This window comes from Homo sapiens, chromosome 6 (assembly GCF_000001405.40).
Source record: "Homo sapiens chromosome 6, GRCh38.p14 Primary Assembly".
Taxonomy (NCBI): Eukaryota; Metazoa; Chordata; class Mammalia; order Primates; family Hominidae; genus Homo; species Homo sapiens.
In genome coordinates, this window is record NC_000006.12 from 152,136,457 (window position 1) to 152,161,367 (window position 24,911).

Consider the following 24,911-nt stretch of genomic DNA (forward strand, 5'->3'; position numbering starts at 1 on the left):
CTCCAGTAAAATGAAAAGTTTGGGCACAAGGTTATCTCACTGAAATACTGACTTTGGGGAGCAACTGCGTCCCTCTAGAAACCATGATACATCAAGTCACACACTCAGCTAAATTGCTAATGTCTCTCTCTGAGTCACCTCCTGCCCAAAGCTCTACAGACCTGGCACTGCATCAGGGCATCCTGCAGCAGGCCCCGCCACTCCTCCAGCAGAGAGCACACTCGGTCCCAGCGCCCATTCATCTGCGACAAGCGATCCTGCAGGTCCCGGCTCTCCTTGCTGTCAGCCTGGGTGAACTCAGGGCTGCAGAGATTGATGGAGAGGATGATGGCTTTGCGGTGGTCCACAGCTTTCTGGAGCTCCTGAAAAGAACAAAAAAGACAATCAAACAAGGACAATAATGACAAAGATATTTTCCCTTGAAAATGTTTCACATGAATGAAAAGATCCATTAATTTAAACTGGCCTTAACAGGATGGCTAGGTAAAAGACAGAGGGTGCGTACCACTGAGAACTGTATGGCAGTTGGAAGAAATGAATTAGATGAGTACTTAACAACATGGATGAATCTTAAGAAAACAGGGTGTAGAGTGAAAACGTCAGAAACAGAATGTTACATGGAACACAACAGCCTCAATACATTCACACACACAAATCCACATTTTTAAAGAATATATCTGAACAAAGAAGGTCTGCCACATATTTCAGAATAGCTACCATTTTGAAAATCAAATGGGAACTTAGAGTTCAGCCAGGGTAGGGGGTGCAGGGGGGAGGAATAAAGAGGAGTCTTGTAGGAGGCAACAATAACGCTAGGCAATGACCTCATTAAGGAGTATGATTGAGTCCACACTCTGTACAGAGGTTCAACCACAACAAAATTCAAATTTGTGGGCCTAAAAATGAAGCAAAGAAAACAGATGCCAGGGCCCTGGGATCCAGATGTACTGAGTCTGCAGGCTCAGTGGCCCACAGGCTGAGAATACTGCCTGTGCCACACTGATGTGAAGGTAGAGAGAATGAATTGGGTATTTCATGAGCTAACCAGTTAGGTTTGATTTCACAAAAACCAGGTGACTGATTTTTGGCTTTGTGCATTTCCAAAACACCCAGTGCTCAATTCCAAGAACTTGAGCACAGGAGTCTGTATTAGTAATTGAGTATCTAGGTACTGTTTAAAATCCCCCAATCCAGTTAGGGTGAGAGATCCTGGAAGTCACATTGACCTAGGCTGCATTTTGAAATCATTTCTCACTAGCCCTGCAATGTTCCCAATCTGTCTTGATTTTGCACTTTTCAATAGGTTCTTAACATACTGTAGAATAGATTCAACCACACAGACAACATGGGTTTAAGAGACACTGTGGAAAATACTTGATTATTCCACAGATTTATTCAGAGAAAATACAGACAGGAAGCATCAGGAGAAAGTACAAAGGAGGATGTCTTTTTTCTTGTCATGCCGGATGACTTTCAAGGTCTTATTTCCCTACCCTAATCTCTCTGAGGTCTCAGACCCTGGCCAGCATTTGCTTCATCAACTTTTTAAGGAATCTGGTTATAATGCAACATGGCCTTACTAGAGTAATTTAGGGACTCTAGATAAAAATGCATTTCATAATGCAGCCATTGTAAATCTCTCTCACGTGGTACTTTGTCCTGAAATTCATGGGGTAGTGTAGAGGCCTTTCTATAGGGATGCACCTTTTGGATCACCTGGAGGGGAGATTCATTTCTCTTGTTTGAAGTTTTCTGTTTGAAAATTTAAAACAGACCAGGCGCAATGGCTCATGCTTGTAATCCCAGCAATTTGGGAGGCCGAGGCGGGCGGATCACTTGAGGTCAGGAATTCGAGACCAGCCTGGCCAACATGGCAAAACCCTGTCTCTACTAAAAATACAATAAATAGCCGGGCATGGTGGTGCATGCCTGTAGTCCCAGCTACTCAGGAGGCCGAGGCAGGAGAAACGCTTGAACACAGGAGACGGAGGTTACAGTGAGCCAAGATCGCACCACTGCACTCTAGCCTGGGTGATAGAGTGAGACTCTGTCTCAAAAATAAATAAATAAATAAATAAATAAATAAATAAATAAATAAATAAAATAAAACAAAATCACACAATCACTAAAAGCAAGCCAAAAAACATCAACCCCAAATAAAAAGCATATACTAAAACCACAGAAACACAAAAGCAGCACACACTTCATTCCTTATCCTGACCCCGGAGAGCCTAGGTGGCCACATTTTGAGGAGGAGCACATCTTAATACTGTCCAAACAGGAAAAAACAAGCACTGATGGGTTTTAAAAAGAAACTGAGCTCTCAGTTCATGAGATGCTCACAATAGTCTCCATATATTAAAGCATTTTAGTGTCTGGGTTAAGGAGGATTTTAAGATCTAGAGCTGGAGTTAAGGTGTACTATATCCATGCGGGCCAAGCCAAAATCAAACGCAAATGCCAGGTGTTTCACCACAATTACTCTATAGTTTTATTTATTACAGCAAAAATTGCTTCTACCACTACTGTAATCAATTTCAGAAGTTTCACTTACTTGAGGTCAAATAACTTCATTATGTCCCCCACAAATTCATGCAGATACAATTTTGGAGAGGATTTCTCTCCAGCTCTAGATATAGGCCTGTAGGAGCCAGGTCATTCTGTATTTCCCTTACAAAGAGTTCTTGTAGGTCCCAGAAGTACCTGGATGCTTCATGAAATTTTAATTGGACATTTCTTAAAATATCAATTCATTAAATCGTGTGTGCTTATTTACATGGTGTATAGTTCTACAATATGGTCCCCTTTTCTGCCCTTGAAAACCATCTTTGTGGCCGGGCACGGTGGCTCATGCCTGTAATCCCAACACTTTGGGAGGCTGAGGTGGGTGGATCACCTGGGGTTAGGAGTTCGAGACCAGCCTGGGCAACACGGCAAAACCCCATCTCTACTAAAAATACAAAAACTAGCCAGGCATGGTGGTGCGTGCCTGTAATCCCAGCTACTAGTGGGGCTGAGGCAGGAGGATGGCTTAAACCTGGGAGGCAGAGGTTGCACTGAGCTGAGATCATGCCACTGCACTCCAGCCTGGGCAACGGAGTGAGACTCCATCAAAAAAAAAAAAAAGAAAGGAAGGAAGGAAGGGAGGGAGGGGGGAGAGAGGAAGGAAGGAAGGAAAGAAGGAGAAAGAAAGAAAAAAAAGAAGGAAGGAAGGAATGAGAGAGAAAGAAAGAAAAAGAAAGAGAAAAAGAAAAGAAAGAAAAAGAAAGAAAGAAAGAAAGAAAGAAAGAAAGAAAAGAAAAAAAAGAAAACCATCTTTGTGGAATACAGGAATTTGGGATGGCTGGAGGTGAGGAGAGCATTCTCACTCATTTTTGTTAGATCCCTTTTCTGCTGCTGTGTAAGAGCAGCTCGAACTAGAGGTGCCATCTGCACGGTCGTTCACGCGGTGGCTCTCTGTTTGTCCGCCGTGGGAAAGGCAAGGGGCAGCTACCTTGAGCTTTTTGATCTGGAGCTCGATGGTCTGGATGTCAGTGCTGAGTTCCAGACGCTGGAGCTGTTCCAACTCCTCCTCCGTGTCCCCCAGCCAGGCCCAGATGCTGTTCAAGTCTGAGTTAAACTGCTGCCACTTCTGGAGGTTCTGCTTCATCCTCAACTCCTTGCTCAATGCCTGGGCCTGGAGAAGCTCCCATCGGTCAATCACACCTGGCAAGACATGCATAGAACAGTGAGGTTATTTTCCTCTACATGTGATGTTTATGAAATGCTTTAAACATAGGTTGGCAGCCAATTTTAAATAGCAACAGAAAGAAAAGTAATTCCACTGGGCATTTTCGTTGTTGTCATCTGGAAATAACAGTTACATGGGTACAATGGCTGTGTTTTTTCTATTTGTATTTCTAATAATAATGAAGCAAAAAAGTTAGTTACATGGGCATTCACACTGTAAAGAGCTTTACGAAGTAATAAGCAGTCATGAGCACGAACGATCGTTCAATTCTTGGATCCTGTCTACAATAGGGCTCTGAGCACACACATATAAAATGCCTGATTAGATATGTGAGAAACAGTGCATTAAAATAATTGGAACATGAGAGCTGGGGTGGTAGTGCGCGCCTGTAATCCCAGCTACTCGAGGGGAGGCGGGAGGATTACTTGAGCCCAGGAGTTGGAGTCTAGTTTGGGCAACACAGCGAGACTTCATCTCAATATTAAAAATAATAATAATAAATGAAACATGGGCAAACACTACCATGATGGCATGCATCATCCCCTCACTGTCAAAGGAGACTGTTGGCCAGGTGTGGTGGCTCACGCCTGTAATCCCAGCACTTTGGGAGGCCGAGGCGGGTGGATCACGAGGTCAGGAGATGGAGACCATCCTGGCTAACACGGTGAAACCCCACCTCTACTAAAAATACAAAAAAATTTAGCTGGGCGTGGTGGCGGGCGCCTGTAGTCCCAGCTACTCGGGAGGCTGAGGCGGGAGAATGCCATGAACCTGGGAGGCGGAACTTGCAGTGAGCCGAGATAGCGCCACTGCACTCCAGCCTGGGCGACAGAGCGCCACTCCGCCTCAAAAAACAAACAAACAACAAAAAAGGAGACTGTTATAACTTGGAAGGAAGTTCTCAGGATAGAACGGTGTAGAAGAAGGCCAAGCCCCCTAAGTGGAATTTCGCTGTTAACAAAGTGCTTCAGGATCTTCTATTTCATTCACTCTTGAACTGGATGCTACGCACTCACCAGCCGTTTGGGTTTCGGTACTATGCAGGTTAACAAAGCCAGGAAGGCTCTCCTCTTCCTCCTTCAGTTTGTGCTCCAGTCTCTTCACGGAGTCTATACTGCTACTGCATTCGCCCAGCAGTTTCATCTGTTTAGACATAAACAACCGGCCCCTGTCACCCAAATCTTCATGAGTGCAAAAGCTTCCGGGGAAAATCTCTTTGTAATTTCTCAGCAAGAGAAGTGTCTGTGTTTGGCTCCTCTGTGCCACCCTGCTAAAAATAAGCCAAGATGGCCGAGTGTGGTGTCTCAGGCCTGTGATCCCAGCACTTTGGGAGGCCGAGGAAGATGGATTGTTTGAACTCAGGAGTTTGAGACCAGGCTGGGGAACATGGCAAAACTCTGTCTCTACAAAATATACAAGAAATTTAGCTGGGCATGGTGGCATGCATCTGTAGTCTCAGCTACCTGGGAGGCTGAGGTGGATCACCTGAGCTCAGAGGGTGGAGGCTACAGTGAACCATAATTGTGTTACTGCACTCCAGCCTATGCGACAGAGTGAGACCCAGTCTCAAAAAAAAGAAAAAAGAAAAAATAAGCAGAGGTAGGCTGGGCACGGTGGCTCCTGCCTCTAATCCCAGCACTTTGGGGGCCGAGGTGGGAGGATCAGTTGAGCCTAGGAGTTTGAGACCAGCCTGGGCAACATAGCAAGACCCTGTCTCTATAAAATATTTTAAAAATGAGCCAGGCGTGGTGGTGAGCACCTGTAGTCTCAGCTGTTCAGGGCACTAAGGTGAGAAGGTTGCTTGAGCCCAGGAATTCAGCTGCATGCAGCGAGCTAAGACCATGACACCGCACTCAAGCCTGGGTGACAGAGTGTGAGACCCTGTCTCTTAAAAAAAAAAAATTAAATAAGCAAAGTTCAAAAACATGCCTTTTAAACAGGTGATACATTCACATATACAAAAAACAATGCCTTAAAGATATACTTTGCATACATGATTTTGCACGAGAAGTCCTTCAAGTTTCTTTACGATTCATGACTCAAAACAGATTAAACCAATCTGCAATTTAAAACTCGGAGCCCTCAGCTGGCAATGCAGTATATAATTTTTGGCAAGCTGCTCCCTCTTTCTCTTTCTTAAATTGAAATGTGGGAACGTTAATGTTACGACAAATCTCATGGGAACTTTCTTGCATTAAATAATTAAAATACTTAAAATTATAGAGCAATATTAAAGCCAGCTGTTTTATAAAAAAAATGTAAGCAATGTTTAATAGGCATCAAGGGACTAAATTCTAAAGTCAAAGAAAAGCTTCCAAATTCATTTTTAATATCACATACAGTATTCAAAGATTAAAAGAACAAATCATTTCAAGATACTCCTGCTGTGCTTACCATAAATCCTTTAACAAATCACAATGCCAGTAGGACTGTTATTCTGATTACTTTTGATTGAGGTTAAGTGTAATCCCAGTGATGTCAGTATGATTACCATAAAACTATATCATAGGTATTTTTAAAAAGTGGTTTCACTATAATAGAAGTTGGTATAATAGGCCAAACTGAACAGGAAACAAACTCATAATTGACCGCTCTTCTGTAATTATAAGGATAATAAAATCAACATATATAGCTAGAACAGTTTTCTTTCCTAATTTCAAAGAGTAGAACATGTGAGTTGTGACCAGACTTGGGGAAATTCATTTTTCTTTCCTTGTACTAACCAGTCTTTTGGATATGAAAGAAGACGTGAGGCAGAGAAGAGACTGGCTTTAAAATTCTCTTCCTTAAGTACGCGTAGGAAAGCAGGTAGTTCTCTAGGGAAAATTAACTGGTCAGTAACTCGAGTAGGGCAAATAACCCTCTGCTAGACTTTATCATACATAGCCAATAGCCGCATAGATAGAACTGGTAGTATATCCAATGCCTTGCTATCTTTTCCCCAAATCCCTCTTGCTAGAACTGTTTTCTTCAGAATGAGCACACTAAAAAACAGAAGAGAAAAACATTCCCAAGGTCATTCGGTGAACCCAGGAAAAGAACTACCAAAAAAACTGCATGTTAGTAATCTATTAGCTAAAATCTGCTGCTCCAAGGATAACCTTGGTCCAAAAATTATTAGTTGAATTTGGAAAAATGCCTAATGACTTTTGGGAGCCAAAGTATTTTGTTGCTCTCAATGAAAAGGATCTCCCTAAGTGCTCAGTGTAAAGGAACAGGTTTGTCATTACAACAGTTTTGTGGGCCTAAAAACAGACAAGTTCTACTCAAATGGTAACTTAATAACAGGGCTTGGCTTTGCACATCCAGGTTCACGAGTTCAAGGGCAGCATGGTATTCAGAGACCACATAAAGCCCTGATGCTGCAGACGAACTGTTCTTTGACACAGAACTGTGGTTTCGCACAGGTCGGAATCAGGATGGCCAGGATACTTACGTAGCCTTTGTAGCTGGTGTCTAGCTCCGGCCCCGTGGGAGTTTTGCTGCGAATGATATTTTCGGTTTGCTGTATCTGAAAACGGCTATCATCCAGGGCTTTGCCCAGTTGTCGGATCTGTGACTCTAGGGCACTGTGGTCCCCTGCGGTGGCAACCATAAGAATCTTTACTGGACAAACTATTTGACTTATTTAAAGCTTGATATTCAAGGAGAAGTTTCAGAAATGATTTCAGTTACAGCAGCATAGAAATGGCAGGTGTGGGTAATTACAAAGCAAATTTAGTACCATCGTGCCGGTGGGTTAGACATTAAAATGGCCAAACCAATGAAGGTGCTTGACTGAGAGCCCTAGCAGATCGGACGTCGCAAAACGGCTCTCCAGTCCGTTTTGAACAGCTTCGTGCACCTGACCCTCTTCCAGCTGAACCCCTGATCATCTGAATGTTGTCAGTGTGGAAGGCCTTTCTAAAAATCTGCAATGGTGTCTACTGCATCTCAGTAAGGAGAAAGCTGTTCTTTTTCTCATGTTCTTTCTGCTATCGCTTAGTGAGCAGGGGAAGATCCTCCCTCTGATTTTTCTTCATGCACCTCAGGGGAAGATAGTGTCACGGAAGGCTCAGGTTGCTGCATCATTTACTGAAGGCATAAATTCATTAATCAAGAAAAGAGTGCCTCAGAATAGATATATACAGAGATATCAAACTAGCAACGACTTGCTTTTTATCTAAGATCTGAAACAAAACCAGGAGAAAGCTAAGATTTTAACATTTCCATCTAGGCAGGTTCTTACTCATAGCCTAGAATTCTGGCTCATTCTCCTCTCAAAGTTGTAACATTTCTTTGTAAAATTACTGAGAGTGTGTGTGTGTGTGTGTGTGTGTGTCAAAGTCTTCGAACTACACAGGAACATTTGATCATCAGTGAAGCTAGCATGGGGTGAAAGCAGAACAAATATTAGTAAGCTTTATTAAATGTTTTTATTTGTTTCTAAAAAAGGCCTTCTAGATACACCTAGGAGAGGTCCCTCCCTGGGAATCACCCTCTCAGTAATGTTACTTTGCTTTCTGTCCTTTTGATTTTCTTCAAAAACTGAAGCGTAAACTAGTAACTCCGTGATTCAATATCATATCACTGCGTTCAAACTCTATTCCCCGCCGACATCCCACATCACTGATCCTGAACTCCTGCACTACAGTTTGTCTAACACAACACTAAGCAAAACTAGTTCCATTTTTCTTTCTTTAATTCTTCTTGTTTCAGGAATAGTTCTGTTCTTATCTATGGCTCAGCATACCGTGAAATACATTTTTCATTTCAAATTATCTTTTACGACCTCTTAAATTAAAATTACATATATTTTTTAGAGCTGAAATCTGATCTCACCCCTTGTCTCATACGGGATTCTTGAGATGAGGAGGATAAAGTGGTGGATGGGCCAAAGGTCACTCATGCAGGCTGGCGGACTTGGGACCAGAGCCTGCACCCTGAGTCTCCAGCCACAGGTAGGTCTGCATGCAGTGAAGCTGAAATTACCACACCACGTAGAACACTAGGGCGCAGAGGCTGATGACTGGGTTTTCCTTCTCATATTTTCTGCAGTTAATGGACATGAGAGGTCTATACCTAATGAGACCAATCACCATTTAACAAGTTGAGAAGTTACTTTATTTCGCTCAATTAGTGAAATCTTATTCTTGGTGTGGATTTAACCAGCTGTTTTTTCTAGTACAGCAGTAAGAGAGGAAGGCTGTGCCTTAACATGCTAGAGCCACAAAGCTGGGAGAGAGACAGCAGATGTGCTAAGAGAGGAGGATTGCTATACAGGGGAGGGAGGGAGGCTGGCTCCGGCTTGTTGTGCCTACCGGAGGTATTTTTGATTGCATTTTCTGTGAGTTTTACATAGGCCTCAGGGCTTTCGGGGATCATTACATCTGCAAAAAAAGCACAGTCTAAGTTGACAGCTAAGTTCTGGAAACCCTGAATCCCTTGTGCAGGAAAATAACTTTCCTAGGGGAAAAAAAGGAAGTCAGTTATTCTAGACACATAGCTCCTGAGCGCACAGAGGAGCGTGCAGGCTCACCAAAGCTTTCCTGAAATGAATCATAAGAATTCACAGTGGGTGGGGCATGGTGGCTCACGCCTGTAATCCCAGCACTTTGGGAGGCCAAGGCGGGTGGATCACCTGAGGTCAGGAATTCGAGACCAGCCTGGCCGACATGGTGGAACCCCATCTCTACTAAAAATACAAAAATTAGCCAGGTGTGGTGACAGGTACCTGTAATCCCAGCTACATGGGAGTCTGAGGCAGGAGGATCGCTTGAACCCGGGAGGTGGAGGTTGCAGTGAGCCGAGATTGTGCCACTGCACTCCAGCCTGGGCAACAGAACTAGACTTCGTCTCAAAAAAAAAAAAAAAAAAAAAAAAAAGAACTCACAGTGACTGAGAGTGTTTTTATGAGCCAGGCTCTGGTCTGAGCACAAATTTATCACATAGAAACCCTATAGGGTACCTGGGAATGTTATTCCCATTTTATAGATGAGAAAACTGAGGCACAGAGGAATTAGGTTCCTTATCTAAGTTTAAACAGAAAGTACATGGCAGAACTGAGATTTCAGCCCAGACTCCAGAGCAGCGCTGTCCCATATATTTCTATGTGAACTATATATGTAATCTTAAAGGTTTCATAGCCACATTAGAAATGTAAAAAGAAACTTATAAAATTAATTTTAACACTACATTAGACAGGGATTATAACATGTAATCAATATAATTATTAATATTTTATTTTCTTTCTTGTACTAAGTCTTTGAAATTCATGTAAGCATGTTTTCCACGCACAACCCATCTCAATTTGCACAGTCCCATCTCAGAGCTCAACAGTCCCAACTGGCCAGTGGCTGGTTTTGGACAGCTCTGCTTCAGATGCCATATGCCTGACTAATAGGCCTTACTGTAAAGACAAAATAGAAATGAGAGAAATCATTTTCTTTTTAGAACAGTGTCATCCCTTGGGAATCTGATGTGAACCACCAGAACCAAACAGAAATTCCCCAGATGTCCTTTGACAGAATGTATGAGATACATTTCCAAGTGCCACAAATCAGCCTCCAACTCTTTATTCTATTTTTATTCACCTTCCTTACAGAGTTTCTGTTTCTCTGTCCATCCCTTCACTGCATGTGTGGCTTGGGTGGTGGTCCTTCTTGTTTTCCTTCACACACTCTTCCTGTGGGAGCTCCTCCGTTCACTCCAGGACCATTGCCATTTACATGTGAATACCTACCCAATCTGCATTTCTGGCTTCTGCACTTCACACCGTGCATCTACGACTGGACTTTTGCATTTGGATATTCTGCAGGTATCTCAAGATCAGGATGCACACAAGCAAACTCATCCCCTCCCTGCTCTCACAGCCCCACCTCCCTTGCCCACCTGCACCCACAGTGCTCCTTCCCTCTTGTGGTCCTCAGGGCCTAGGACCACCTGCATCTTTCACCAAGATGCCCAGCCCAGAAAATCGCCTCCATCCCAGTTCAATGGACTGAGAGTTCTGGAGGAGTCTTCTCTGTGTGATTTCTCACATCATTCCCATTCTCCCCATTCCCAATTCTGCTTCCCCTAGTTCAGGCCACCACCCTACTTCTGTCTGAGGTTGTAAAAGGTTTCATTTGGACTCTCTCCGCTGAATATGCCCTTCTCCCTGTGGTATCCAGAAAGATACAATATGAAAATCTGCACATCCCTGAGGAGGGAGGATCCCAGCACCTCCCTCCGCAGATCCTGCTGTGGCTCCACGACCTTCAGGATAGGAGCCACAGCTCTTTTCCATGGTGAACAGGCTGCTTCACAGCCAGGCTCTTCTCCACTTTGTCCATTCCATGCCTGTCATTCCAGACAAACTGCCAATGATCAAAAGCACCAGGCCAATCACAAAGCAGGGAGGCTTCCCCTCCTTTCTTCCTCTAAGCACTTCCGAGCCCACCTGACCAACTGCGATTCACCCTCTGGACTCTGCTCCATGGTTTCTTTCCCGAAGTCTCTCCCAGGACTCCGGCTTTGTCGCCCCTGCTTGTGTGTCCTGCCACCACACTGCCATCTGAGCCCCAAACACTTCATACAGTGGTTTCTCACTGTGTCCCACACTAGAGTGGAAGCTCTGGGAGAAGAAGAGGAACTGTGTATCCCTAGAACCTGGCAAAGCGCTTGTCACCTACTACCACAAATCTACGTGGAATAAATCAACGGCCACACCAAATTTTGCATTTTATAATCACATTCATATCTAAGTGTTCACTTAGGTACAATTTCCCCGCATGAAAGAAGGAAGCAAATGATTCTGGATAGCTGTCATGTTTCCAGGGCAATATTAATTCCCTCTGACTTTCCTTTAAGCTGGCAAACTGGAGAGGCTCTTTCCTACCTGATAAGCCAACAGCTCCCCGGAGGTAGAAATCTTTGTCATCCTGACCTTCTTCATCCTCAGAGGGCAGAGCTCTGGACATTGCAGACTCCAGGTCCCGACTGAGGTCATAGTCGTGATCCCACTCCAGGGGGATGGAGTCCACACTAGCCGGGGTGTCTCGTCCTGACCGCTCGCTCCGGAGGGGCTGAGCGAGCGAGAGGGAGAGATTGGAGGAAGGCTGTGGAGAAAGCAGGCTGTCTGCAGAGCGGTCGTGCCAGTGCAGGTCCGACAGAGCTGCAGAGTCTTCCAGCTCCAGCTCCCTGTCTGAGAGGTCGTGCTCATCGTCTGGGAGCTAGAAGGGAAGTCAAGGCAACCCTGTCACTGTAGTGGTCAGACTAGCTTCTTATCTGGGCCACCTGCCTACCATGTGGGGACAATTTTTAACTTCTTATGAGCAAATAAATAAGAATCTTCTGATCACAGAAATACAGGGGACAGTGCTGCTCTAGAGTTTGACTGTCTGGGTTGAAATCTCAGTTACGCTGTGTGCTTCCTGTTTAAGCTTGGATAAGGAACTTAATTCCTCTGGGCCTCAGTTTTCTCATCTATAAAATGGGAATAACAGTCCCAGGCATCCCACAGGGTTTTTTTTTTTTGAGTGGGAAAAAATTAAAAAGTCTTATAAATTATCCTACATAAGCCTCAGTTTCATTGTTGGTAAAATGGGAATAACATTAAAACATACTTCAAATAATTAATATAAGATTAAATAAATATTATAAAGAAAGGCAATCTACTACCATGCCCACCACACAACACCTACACACTGGCAAGGATCGGAAATAAGAGCAAATTACTAAGACCTTAGCTTGTCCTTATAGCCCAGATATAAAATAGGTTTGATCGTAGAAGATTCCAAATACTCTAATAACATCTCTATAAGTAAGATGTGATTATGGTAGCAATTAGGAAAATGGAAGAATGAAAATTCACCTAAACCTAACCTCATCAATTAAGAAGCTGTTCACTTTGCTTCCTTTTATTGTATTTCTTCTAGAGGCTTCTCTTATTTCTTCTAGAGGCTTCTCTAGAGCAGTGCTGCCCCATGTTTCTGCGATCAAAAGATTCTTATTTATCTTCCATAGAAGATATGAGCCAAATGTTCTTCTAAACTCTTTGTATACATTAACTCATCTAATGCTCAAAACAATCCTTTGTACAGGGTAGTTACTGCTACTAAACCACTTTCACTTTTGAGGAAGCTGAGGCAAGAAGGGTGAAGTGAGTAGCTTGCCGAAGGTGACAGCGACAATGTAGGACAAAGCTAGGACTTGAACTCAGGTGCTCCAGCTCCAGAGTCTGAGCTCTCACCCACTATCAATACAACCCAATCCCACACGACTTATTCTCTTTAGATTTAATGACAACTAAGAAAATCAATGTTACATACAGGCAGGCGGATCAGTTTCTTATGGTATCTTTCCACACGCCCGAAGACCTCCTGGCAGTACCGTCGGAGCTCATCTAGTTCCTCCTCGATGATCGCTGCATCCAAGGGCTCACTCTTTTCTATCAGCTGTTCTCCTTGGGCAATTATCTGCTCAATCTTATTGTGGTTCAGTGAAATTTCCTGCTGGAAGGCCTAGGGAGTACAAATCTCATGTGATTTTGCTATTGTTGTTGCTTACATTGATATAAAAGAATCATAATAGATGTATTTCTCATTACATTAAAAAAGACATGTAGGGGCTATTTAATTGACCATATACAATCACAAGACAAGAGTCTATTACCTTCTAAAGTAAAACATATGCATTTTCAGCCAGAACAGGAGTCATAAATAGAAACATTCGAATTCCATGATCAGAAAAGCGCTTTTGGCTAATAAAATTTACCATCACAGGTAGTGTGGGTAGAGAATAACAGGGGAAAATATTCAAACCCACCGTAAGTTGACAGCACTGGTTATCCCTAATGAAAGCAATGGCAGTCAATATACTGTCACTGAAATAAATGTAGCATTTTAAAGAAATATCCCGATCATTTTAATTTCAGATATCCTCATCCTATGTCAAACATGACTAAGAGAAGCCATCCAATGCCACGCCTTCTTCTCAGGTGATTCTTTTATTATTTCAGAACATAGGCAGGTAAAGTTATGATTTGAAAAACAAGGAATTCCAGGAGGATTATTTAGACTCATTCTATGTGTTGCAAAAGATTTAAATCACTGGGTATGTTTCAGTGTTCACTTTTAATTCAATACAATAATAAATTGTGGAAGAGCTGAATTGTCCAATGGTGAAAAAGACTCCCAGGAGAGAAGAGAGGGTAGTAATAATTTCCATCATCCTGCCAGGGTCCCAAGGGACAAGATTCAATTACACTTGGCAGAAACTTTCTGTGGAAGGATGTAAATGTTGATTCGCCTGTGAGATGACAGGAGAGAGGAATCAGGGGAGAGGGTGAGGCAGAATAGCAGGGTTTACTGTTTCTTCCATCCTGAGAATCCATGTCTACGGGCAAGTTCCTTGTTTTATCATAACAACCCAAAGGTTATGGGCGTCATGACCATTCTTTAAAAAAATCCATCTATCTTGGGAGGAAAATTTCATAAGCTTCCTTGGAAAACACTCAATTTGTTAAATACTCCCACTTTTAGGAAATCCTTACATCTAATGTATATCCCTCCTATTCGAATTTCTAGCTAGCCACTGTGTTTGAATTATATAGTGAAAAATACAAAATGTGTTTAAAATTAACTTGGCATCTAAGAATGCAGACTATGAGGAATGAAATCCCGACATAGGAAAGTTGTATTGCTTTGCAACATGGAGGTTAAAGGAACCATGTGAAGGTGCTACAAACACATTAGAAAAAATAAACGAAAACAACAACAACAAGGCCAGGAAGGGTGGCTCACACCTGTAATCCCAGCACTTTGGGAGGCCAAAGCAGCTGGATCACTTGAGGTTAGGAGTTCGAGACCAGCCTGGCCAGCATAGTGAAACCCCATCTTTACTAAAAAAATACAAAAATACAAAAATTTGCCGGACTTGGTGGTATGTGCCTGTAATCTCAGCTCCTTGGCAGGCTGAGGCAGGAGAATTGCTTGAACCAGGGAAGTGGAGGTTGCAGTGAGCCAAGATTGCGCCACTGCACTTCAGCCTGGGCGACAGAGTGAGACTCTCTCTAAAAAAAAAAAAAACAAAACAACAACAGCAGAACATCCCTAACACCCTGGCAATCAAGCTGATTGAAAATCAATCAAGCTGTTGAAAAATATCAACAACAATATCGATATCAAATAAGATAAGAGCACTACCCAGATATAAGCAATAGTGGTTATTTCTGGGTAGTGCTCTTTATCTGATTTTTTATATATTTTACATTTTCTGAATTTTTTTGCAGTCCAGAACTAATTTTTCAAAAGAAAAGTTATTTGCTATGTTCTTCACAAAAGAGCCACAAATCCTTTCATTTTCAGGCTTTCTTCACTTTGGTAACTTGAAAAATAATCTATTACCTTGAGTTGCTTTATTTTAGCTTGAACATCACACTCAGAAAAATGTTCAATATTAGTGAGCTGCAGATCCATCTCTGTGAGCCAGACCAGAATGCTGTCCCGCGCAGTCTCAAACTCCTCACGCTGGCCAATAAAATGCTGGAAGGCAAGAGGAAAGTAGTAACAATTATTTTTATTAAAAGTCCTTCTAAACATATGGAGATGGCACAGCGAATTCCAGTGTTCTGTAAAGTCATTTTCTCAGCAAGCAATGAGAAGCCTGCAATCCTTTGCTATATCACTCCCCGGTTTACTCCTCCTGCCATCCCATTCTTACAAAATCACTGAGACTGTGTCTCAAGACTGCATTCAAATGGCCCAGTCCCATCCTCTGGCCTCTAAATTACAGATGAGGCATAGCAAAAACCTTGAGTCTGCGCAAGATGGAGGTGACACGCTTTTGCAGGTTGTCCCATCTCTGGTTGCCTTCGTGAACCATCTGTTTGAGGCTACATGCTGAATCAGTGCGGTTCTCCCTGGCCAGGCGGCGGTACTGCTTGTTGATCAGTTCCAGCTGCGTCAGGCACTCGTGGACCTGTCGCTGGAAAGCCTAAGGCCACAGAGAAGCATATCAGTGTGAGAAATCAGCGAAGGACTCTCAGTAGTGGCTCCTGGTTTTCTTATTGTAGCGTCTGGGAGAATGGGAAGTTACACTATCACAGAGGGAAAGAATGATGTCTAATAACGGTACACTTCCCCTTGTTAATGCAAAGTCATCTAGTCAGCGTAACTTAAAGGAAAGGGAGAATCTATCAAAAAATATGAAAATGGGGAGTAGTAATGAATAAACACACACGCATCCAACACACATATATAGACACACACACATACATACACACACATATACACGTAGCTTTAAAAATAATTAATGTCCTGGAAACAAATATTCCCACAAAGCAAACCACTATAAAAAATATACACGTGTGTGTGGAAATGTGAGTTTGAAATGTTGACAACTTCTGCTGTCAATATGGAGAAAAAGATATCTATAATGGAACTGTTTATTTGTAAAATATGTACTTTTCTAAAAATCTAGAAATTACCTCAATTCTGCTGTCCATTAGGAAAAAACTTAAAACTACCTTTTGCAAAAGGTCTTCCAAAAAATCAAGCTATTATAAGCTTTTAAGAAAAGTAATTTAGTAAAATACAAGTAACTTTATATTTTAAAAAATTTGGAACATGCTCTGTTTCTTTTTTGTTGTTCCTGTGATTTAATTAGTTTTTATAAAACATGTTAGAGCTAGTGTACCACCCACACAGTAGCATCAATTTACTTTTGAGGCTATCCCAGGGTCAGTTTAGAGATTCTGAAGGTAAAATATTCTTTTCTGCCTTTTCCCTCCAATGTAGAAGAGCCCTATAGCATAAGAGTCATTTGGCCAAAATAAAATGAAGCTTTAAAAAAAATCATTTGTATGATTTATGACTGATTTTTATCTTGGCATTAGACCAAAATGAAAACTATAATTAATAAATTGAACCGCACTCATCAAATCCCCAAATTCTGTTTTCCTTGGCTCATCACACTGTTTACATGTGACCACATTTCTGTCTCTTAAATTGCTTTCCTTGTGAGAGCTGCTTTCAGAGCCTTCATCCTAGGAAATCCTAGCTTCCAGTCTAAAAACCTTAAGTTATTTCTCCAGCAAAGGGAGTGGTAAGGAAAGTTCAGCTCTGGCCATGACTGGAAGTCCCAGTACATGTTTGCCCACTGGGGTAAGGTTGGAGTACCCCCAGGCAGATACCCCAGCACACCCATGTCCATCCCAAACGTTCATGCGATTGGACCAGCTAAAGACTGCCCCCAAGCACAACTTCGTTTCTGCAATTCATTTCTGTCTCTTAAGAAAATTAACTACAAAATTCATGATAAATAATAAAATCAATCATTATAGAAGCTAACTATAAGGCTAACTTTTGCTTTAAAATCTGAGAGTCTAAAATAGCATCAAAAAGAATCTTATATAATCTGCTTTGCAGTATAAGCCAATTATAAAAGGTTTTAACCTTTATGAAGGGAGTGTGTAAGATGCAGTTGAGCAGCTCTCCACTAGCATTCATTCACATCGAGATGACCTGGAATCTACTGCAGAGTTTACTGTGCTTTTTACTAGTAGTTTTCTAAGGGAGTATCTTTTATATAGGAATAAAAGTGTTGTTTATTTTAATTTAGTGGTATAGTTACATATGAATTCATTCACCATTCAGACATCAGAGTAATTCATCCATTTCAAAGTATTTGAACATTTTTCTAGATTCATATAGCTGTCCATGTACAACCCTGAGATTTTAAACTCCATAAGAATAAAAAAGCGAACTTCTTATTTCCCATCATAGGCCTCAGAAAATGCCTGGTTACCTGATGTTGCAAGGTAAAAATGAATGCAGCTACATTTCATTACATTTTCAGTCTTATTTCTAAACATCTCGAGGAACTTGGGGGCATAATTAGCAATGGTCAGAATGCTTCTGAACTCTTTGCTGTTAACATACCTGAGTACACAACTGCCTATTAGTGGGAACTGAAGGGAAAAACACCTTCAAATTTAAAAATGGTCAATTTTGGGCTAGGTCAGGTCTTCCATGAAAATGAAAGGCAGCTGAGAAGTCAGAGCTTCATTGTACAACAGTGATAGAGTGGACTCGAGATTGTGCAAGCAGGCAAGGTATTGGAATCAATTCTTGGATAACTTCTTTCTTTATGAATATGATTACACTACAGCTATTTTCATCTCAGTGTAATTGAAAAGTTTTGGTGACTCAAGACCAGTACTACTCTTCACTGTGTAATTAGAAATGAATTATAATGAAAATGTTTTATTCCATTCTAGAGTCAACTCTTTTATCAAATACACACACACACACACACACACACACACACACACACACACTGCGATTAGGTAAAGAAAATACAAAAATGTATGTGGAAGGTAGATTTTTATGGTTTAAAAAAATCATATTTTAATCTTAGAAAAGATGGTTGACTGTGGAATAATTCTGAAATAAAAATCATGCCAAGATCTTTTGGGAGGAATCACGATTCTTCTTTTCTAATAGAATCTCTCTTCATTACTACAGTATTTATGCTTCTTGATAATCTTAAAATAAAAACCTCTTTTTCCCCCTTCATACGTATGACTACGTATGAGGTCATAATAAAGATGGCTGCAAAGTCCTCACGCAGCAATTTGAGCAGATAACATGTGGTGAACAGCTAGTTTAGGTCTTGGAACTCCAACTACCAGCTGGCTACTTTAATAGCAAAATAAGGATTAAAAATTTGGAATTATAGATTACCTCAAATTTCTTTAGTTCTTCCTTGGCAACTGTATAGATCACCCCAGAAGAGCTGGGAAAAGCAGCTGTCCTTTCTGAAGACTTCAGCCAATCTTCAAAACGTGAATAGTCATCCAGAAATTTCTGCCACAATCGCCACGTCTCTTCGATTCTGGGGCGGAAAATGAAAGAACAGATTCAGATTATTGGAGACTGTTTTCGCTCCAGAACCCGGTCTGCTGCCTGCGACTGGATTAAGGGTGCCCACAGAGGCAACTGTTGTGCCAAACGATAACCATTCCTCGAGCCAAATTTGACCAGAGAGCAAGAGAGACAACTGCTTGAGCTAAAATAAAACGGCTGTTTTATTTTTTTAAAAACACGTCCTGCAACTCTGGATTTTGAATTAGTCAAATTGAAAATTACAAGCACATCACACGAGCTGCCTTGAATGTGTGCACCAAGTTTAGAAAAGCAACACCAGGTTTACAGTGTGCACTCAGGCCAGTGTCTTACGGAAATAAAGACGAGGTCGGAAAATCCATTTAAGTCCAACATTCAACTCACACTGACAAAAGTTAATCTATGACAGCAGGACAAATATTAAGCTTTCAACAGTTTACCAGAGAGCACAGCCATGATGATCACTTTGTAACACAGCACGATTTTCTGCCACCTTGAATTTCAAAGGGCTTAAAGATAAATCTGCTTTTATTATTTAATTTTTAATAAAAGAATGTTACTGTTCTCACAGCCACACATTCTGTAATGTTATGCTTGTTTGACAAGGGTGTATTTTTATGTTTCCGTATTATATTTCAACTGTTAGGTCAGACATAACTTGGCTTGTTATATTTATATATTACCTTTATACCTACTTATTTTCCCAACTAAATGTAGACAATAGTAAGTTTGGGAAGCCACAGCTATTTTTGGACATTGTAACGAACAGGAAAGAGTGAACAGTGGATACTCTGGGTGATTTTTATTTTCTTTTTGGTCTTTCCTCTTCCCTATCTGTTTCAGCATCCCAGCTCACTTCAGCCTCCTTTCCATGGACATAGCACAAATGTTTCTCCACCGCCGGTCCAGGTTTCTCGTAGCCTGCTGTATAGAGTCACACTCGGCATCAGTGGCACAGGCGTCACAGTCGTGCAGCAGGACTTCACACAGGTTGAGGACAGATGCAACACCTGTACTGTGCTTCTCTATGTCTCTCTGAAGCTCCTGCAGGGGAACGTAACAGGCTTTATTCAACAATTACATGTATACAGATGAGAGAAACTGAAGCAACCTATGTTGGTAAATGGCTAGGCTACACCTTGACAAATATTTAATTTCCTTGAATGTATGACATTTATTGAGCCTCATTTATGAAATCCAGCAAGCTCAAAAGTACTAGAAAATGGATGTAGAAATATTTTGGCTATGCGAGCAATGCCAAAATATAAACTGAACAAATGAAATGGTCTACACTAAGAGTAAAACTAACTTCTTTAATCAATAAAAAATGAATCTTGCCCCAGACTCTACTTCACGAATACATCACTTTCATTCCAATCAATCAATCATCATCTCTTAGTATCTGTCAGGGGATTGGTTCCAGACCTTCCCTCGGACACCAAAACCCATGGATGCTTAAGTCCTTGATATTGAATGCTGTAGTATTTGCATACCTCCTACACACATCCTTCCATACACTTTAAATCATCTTGAGATTACTTATAATACCTAATACAATGTAAATGCTATAGAAATTGTTCTTATACTGTATTGTTTAGGGAATCATGACAAGAATAAAAAGTCTGTATGTATTCAATACAGATGCAAATTGTTTTCCAAATACTTTTGATCTACGGTTGGTGGAATCCACCAGTGTAGAACCGTAGATACCAAGGGCCTGTATATATGCATGTGCTAGACCTGGCACTCAAGAACTGGGCTTTAAGATCCAAAGATTTACTTTTTTTTTTTTGGGATGGAGTCTCACTCTGTCACCCAGGCTGGAGAGCAATGGCACAATATCAGCTCATGGAAACTTCTGCCTCCCGAGTTCAAGTGATTTTCCTGCCTCAGCCTCCCAAGTAGCTGGGATTACAGGTACCCGCCATCATGCCTGGCTGGTTTTTGTATTTTTGTAGAGACAGGGTTTTACCATGTTGGCCAGGCTGGTCTTGAACTCCTGACCTCAGGTGATCCACCCACCTAGGCCTTCCAAAGTGCTGGGATTACAAGTGTGAGCCACCACGCCCAGCTGATTTGCATTCTTTTTTAAACAGTTAATTCCACCATCATTAAAAGGTAACATGGTTATCAATGGACGAACAAATAAAGAAAAAGTGGCATATATATACACAATGGAATATTATTCGGTCATAAAAAAATGAAATTATGTTGTTTGCAGCAACATGGATGGAACCGGAGGTCACTATGTTAAGTGAAATAAGCCAGGTACAAAAACACAAATATCACACATTCTCACTTGTATGTGGGAGCTAAAAAAGTTGATCTCATGGAGGTAGAGAGTAGAACGCCAGATAGCAGAGGCTGGGAAGAGTGTTTGGGGGCAATGAAGTGAGGTGTCAATAGACACAAACATACAGTTAGAGGGAATAAGTCTTAATGTTCGATAGAGTAGAATGACTATAGTTAACAACAATGTACTGCATATTTCAAAATAGCTAGAAGAGAGAAATTGAAACATTCCCAACACATAGAAATAATAAATACCAGAGGTGACGGACACCCCAAATACCCTGACTTGATCATTACACAGTTTATGCATGTAACAAAATATCATATGTGCCCCACAAAGATGTAGAAAGACTATTTAAGGGACCTAGGTTCTATATCATGCATGACATCAGCAGTTTCCTCAGAGAACAAATTCTTTTTTTTTTTTTTTTTAGATGGAGTCTCACTCTGTCGCCCAGGCTGGAGTGCAGTGGCATGATCTCAGATCACTGCAACCTCCTGCCTGATTCTCCTCCTCATTCTCCTGCCTCAGCCTCCTGAGTAGCTGGGATTACAGGCGCCCACCACCATGCCTGGCTAATTTTTGTGTTTTTAGTAGAGACGGGGTTTCCCCATGTTGGACAGGCTGGTCTGGAACTCCTGACCAGGTGATCCGCCCACCTCGGCCTCCCAAAGTGCTGGAATTACAGGTGTGAGCCACTGCGCCTGGCATAGAGCAACTTTTAATGTAGGGCAGAAGTAAAATGTTTTATGATAAAAACAAAGCATTGGATTTCCCTGGAGTCCCACAATGTGAAATCTTCATTTTAACTGTATAAAATGTAAATTCAAATTGTATGTTGTTTTCTCTATTGAACTTTTAACTCCATTTACTCCAAGTAAGTATTCCATTATTAAAAGTAAGCTCTACCAGTATCATTTTTTGTTTACTATATTCATCAATGTCCTTAATGTGTTTTCCTTTTCTTTTATCAGGAAGTTCTTGAATTTGCTTATTTTTTCTCTTGCTCTAAAAATTCCTCAATTTACGCAGATACCCGGGATTTATATTCTTGTGTTGCTCTTCCTCTTATTTTTTTCCTTGATGCCATGTTCCAACATCTATGCAAACACTAGCTATTGTCAAATGTCATAGTGCCTTTAATTAATTTTGGAGATTTTATAAACTAGACACTAGACGATAAATTTTACTAAAATATTTATATTTGTATAAACAGTCCTTTCAAATCTCTGACATAACCTCCTTCACTTACATGAAACAATATGTCACAGGAATTGCTGTTCTAAAAAATATAAAATGAAGTAATATAAAAATTAAACTTAGTATTTGCTTAAAGATAAATATAAAGACAAATAATTCTGTAAATGAGATTACCAAGTACATTTGAGGTCTTAAACTACATTTTGTGCAAGCATATACATTTGGAAGAAGTGTTAGGCCCCTGGACATAAACCATGCATTTAAGAAAGTTAGCATTTTTATTTCATTTTCCCTAAATACTCAAAAGTTTTTGTTAAAATCAATATATGAAATAGCAACCCTAAGATTTGAGGGGATTTATAATCATACATAAGTGCCCTAAGACAAAGTTTTAGGCTCAGCTTCAACTTTTTTTCTTTTTTTTGAGACGGAGTCTCGCTCTGTCTGCAGACTGGAGTGCAGTGGCACAATCTCGGCTCACTGCAACCTCCGCCTCCCAGGTTCAAGCGATTCTCCTGCCTCAGCCTCCTGAGTAGCTGGGACTACAGGCGCGCACCACCATGCCCAGCTAATTTTCGTATTTTTAGTAGGGACAGAATCATTCTTAAAAATTTTCCACAAGGGAAACTGTGGTAACTGTGACATGATTAAAATAAAATGTATCAAGCCCTGACTTTGTGTTAGGTAGGCACTGTGCTCAGTGCTTCTTCTTAGTAATTTGTATAATCACACTGTGTGGTGTGGACTCTGATGATTGGCGTTCTATAAATCAGGGCTCTAAGGGTTCAAATAGTTATGGCTTTGTCCCAGATCACATGGGAATGTAGTGAGGCCAAGATCTGAACCCAGAAAGTTTACTTTTAACCACTGGTGTACAGGACTTTTTAAAGTCTTAATTTAAAATTTAATTAAAAAGCTATATGTGCATATTTAATGTAGTAAAAAGTAAAAAACGACTAGCAGGTTCTGAAGAAAGCAGCATGTTTTCCACCCCGGAGTTCACCTGTTCAGGAGCAACCATTTCCATCTCTTGCAGCTCTTTCTTCTGGTATTACTTCTACCCTTTTTAATTTTTTGAGACAGGGTCTTGCTCTGTCACCCAGGCTGGAGTGCAGGGGTGTGATTATGGCTCACTGCAGCCTCAAATTCCTGGCCTCAAGTGATCCTTCTGCCTTGGCCTCTCGAAGTATTAGGATTACAGGGGTGAGCCGCCACATTCAACCTATTTCTATATTTCTCAGTAATATATAACTTCTCTATTTCTAAGTAACATAGCTACTGCTTGATTTGTCCATACTTTATGAATTCTTGTATAGTAGAGAAGAAATAAACTTCTACATGGCTGACTGAACTCTAATGACTGTTACAGTACAACTTAGAGCTAGGGTAATAATCACTGTTCTCATGATTATGGTTATTTAATATTTTTCACATTTGAGGAACAAAATATACTATGGTTATGTTTCTTTTCTTTTTTTTTAGACAGAGTCTCAGTCTGTCGCCAAGCTAGAGTACAGTGGCGCGATCTCCGCTCACTGCAACCTCCGACTCCCTGGTTCAAGCGATTCTCCTGCCTCAGCCTCCCGAGTAGCTGGGATTACAGGCAAGCACCACCATGCCCAGCTAAATTTTTGTATTTTTAGTAGAGACGGGGTTTCACCATGTTGGCCAGGATGGTCTCGATCTCCTGATAACTCATTTTCCTGGATTTTACAATCCTCTCTCTCTCTCTAATTTATAATGCTTGCTTCTATTATCTCTCTTATTGAACTAATAAAACTCCTTCCGGAGTGGTTAAGCCCATCAGATAATCTAGCCCCTCCTGGCTCCTCCTGGAAACATCCCTCCTAGAGCACCCAGAGCCCCTGCTCCCATCTGGACAGGTGCTGGCTTGGCTGCAGTACAGCTGTCATCAGGGACTTTCCTGCACCTTCACTCTGGGAATTCCCTTTTTCTTTCTCCTGAGTTGAATAGCATTTCCCCTCTTGCTTTAGTGCGTGTAGCATATGCAGCATATATAGCATAGTAGTACGTAGCCTGTGTAGCAAGTATGAAGTGTATTTTCCTCTCACTTTCATGTATGCAGCATACCTTTCATTAGCTTCCTGAAAATGGGTACATAGGAGGTAAAATTTGTAGATATTAAGTGGCAGGGTATAAAATTCTAAATTATAAAGAATTTTTCTCCGCTTTCTGAAGTTAGAGCCATTGTCTTCCAGCTCCCAGTATTGTTTTGGAGAAGCCAGAGTTTATTTCATCCTGGAAACCTTTAGGATCTCCTTATCCCTTGTGTTTTGCAGTTTTACAGTGTGGCTTTGCTTTGTTTTACATTTTCCTGGGCACTCATACAGCCCTTATCATCTGCAAATGCATGTTTTTCATTTTAGATATATATATGAATATATATACACACACATATGTGTAATGTGTGTACACATATACGTGTAATCTTCCACAAAGTAAACAAAAAGATAAATATATGAAAAATAGGAGAGAAATATAGACATAAACATAATAAAATTAACAATAATGCGAGAGTTTCAAAATCCAATTCAGTTATTTTATAAAAGTCCCCCCAAAAAAGAATAAAGAAAATGGAGAGGAGAAAATTAACATCGTAGTAATGTAACAAAAATATAAATATATATTTAATAATAAATATATAAAATATATTTTTACATTACTACATTATTTATTTCATAATAAACATATATTATTTAATAATAAATATATATATTACATTACTACTATGGTAATTTTCTCCTCTCTATTTTCTTTATTTTTTTTTAGCAGGGGACTTTTACAAAATAACTGAATTGGA

The 24,911-nt window shown here is 40.9% G+C and overlaps 1 protein-coding gene across 50 annotated transcripts in view, besides 2 other annotated features; it reads right to left on the reverse strand.

The window, feature by feature from the left end:
• SYNE1 (spectrin repeat containing nuclear envelope protein 1) overlaps positions 1–24,911 on the reverse strand; it is a 515,676-nt gene that overhangs the window by 14,770 nt on the left and 475,995 nt on the right. For 36 of the 50 annotated variants that reach the window (XM_047418508.1, XM_017010610.2, XM_017010609.2 and 33 more), the window contains 11 exons: positions 19,454–19,641; positions 18,436–18,586; positions 15,503–15,685; positions 15,097–15,234; positions 13,021–13,212; positions 11,589–11,922; positions 9,031–9,099; positions 7,167–7,309; positions 4,747–4,873; positions 3,494–3,705; positions 162–362 (listed from right to left, as the gene is read on the reverse strand). In XM_047418508.1, coding sequence (XP_047274464.1) covers positions 162–362; positions 3,494–3,705; positions 4,747–4,873; positions 7,167–7,309; positions 9,031–9,099; positions 11,589–11,922; positions 13,021–13,212; positions 15,097–15,234; positions 15,503–15,685; positions 18,436–18,586; positions 19,454–19,641 — 1,938 coding nt within the window. The remainder of the gene's footprint in view (positions 1–161; positions 363–3,493; positions 3,706–4,746; positions 4,874–7,166; positions 7,310–9,030; positions 9,100–11,588; positions 11,923–13,020; positions 13,213–15,096; positions 15,235–15,502; positions 15,686–18,435; positions 18,587–19,453; positions 19,642–24,911) is intronic. The other 14 variants (NM_182961.4, XM_017010615.2, XM_047418511.1 and 11 more) reach the window with 1 other exon arrangement.
• Positions 23,922–24,111: an enhancer, noted in NCBI's record as "active region_25285". NCBI's record gives its function as "activates an Ori minimal core promoter by ATAC-STARR-seq in GM12878 lymphoblastoid cells {active_cell/tissue: GM12878}" and the evidence as "EXISTENCE:reporter gene assay evidence [ECO:0000049][PMID:35858748]".
• Positions 24,182–24,231: a silencer, noted in NCBI's record as "silent region_17689". NCBI's record gives its function as "represses an Ori minimal core promoter by ATAC-STARR-seq in GM12878 lymphoblastoid cells {active_cell/tissue: GM12878}" and the evidence as "EXISTENCE:reporter gene assay evidence [ECO:0000049][PMID:35858748]".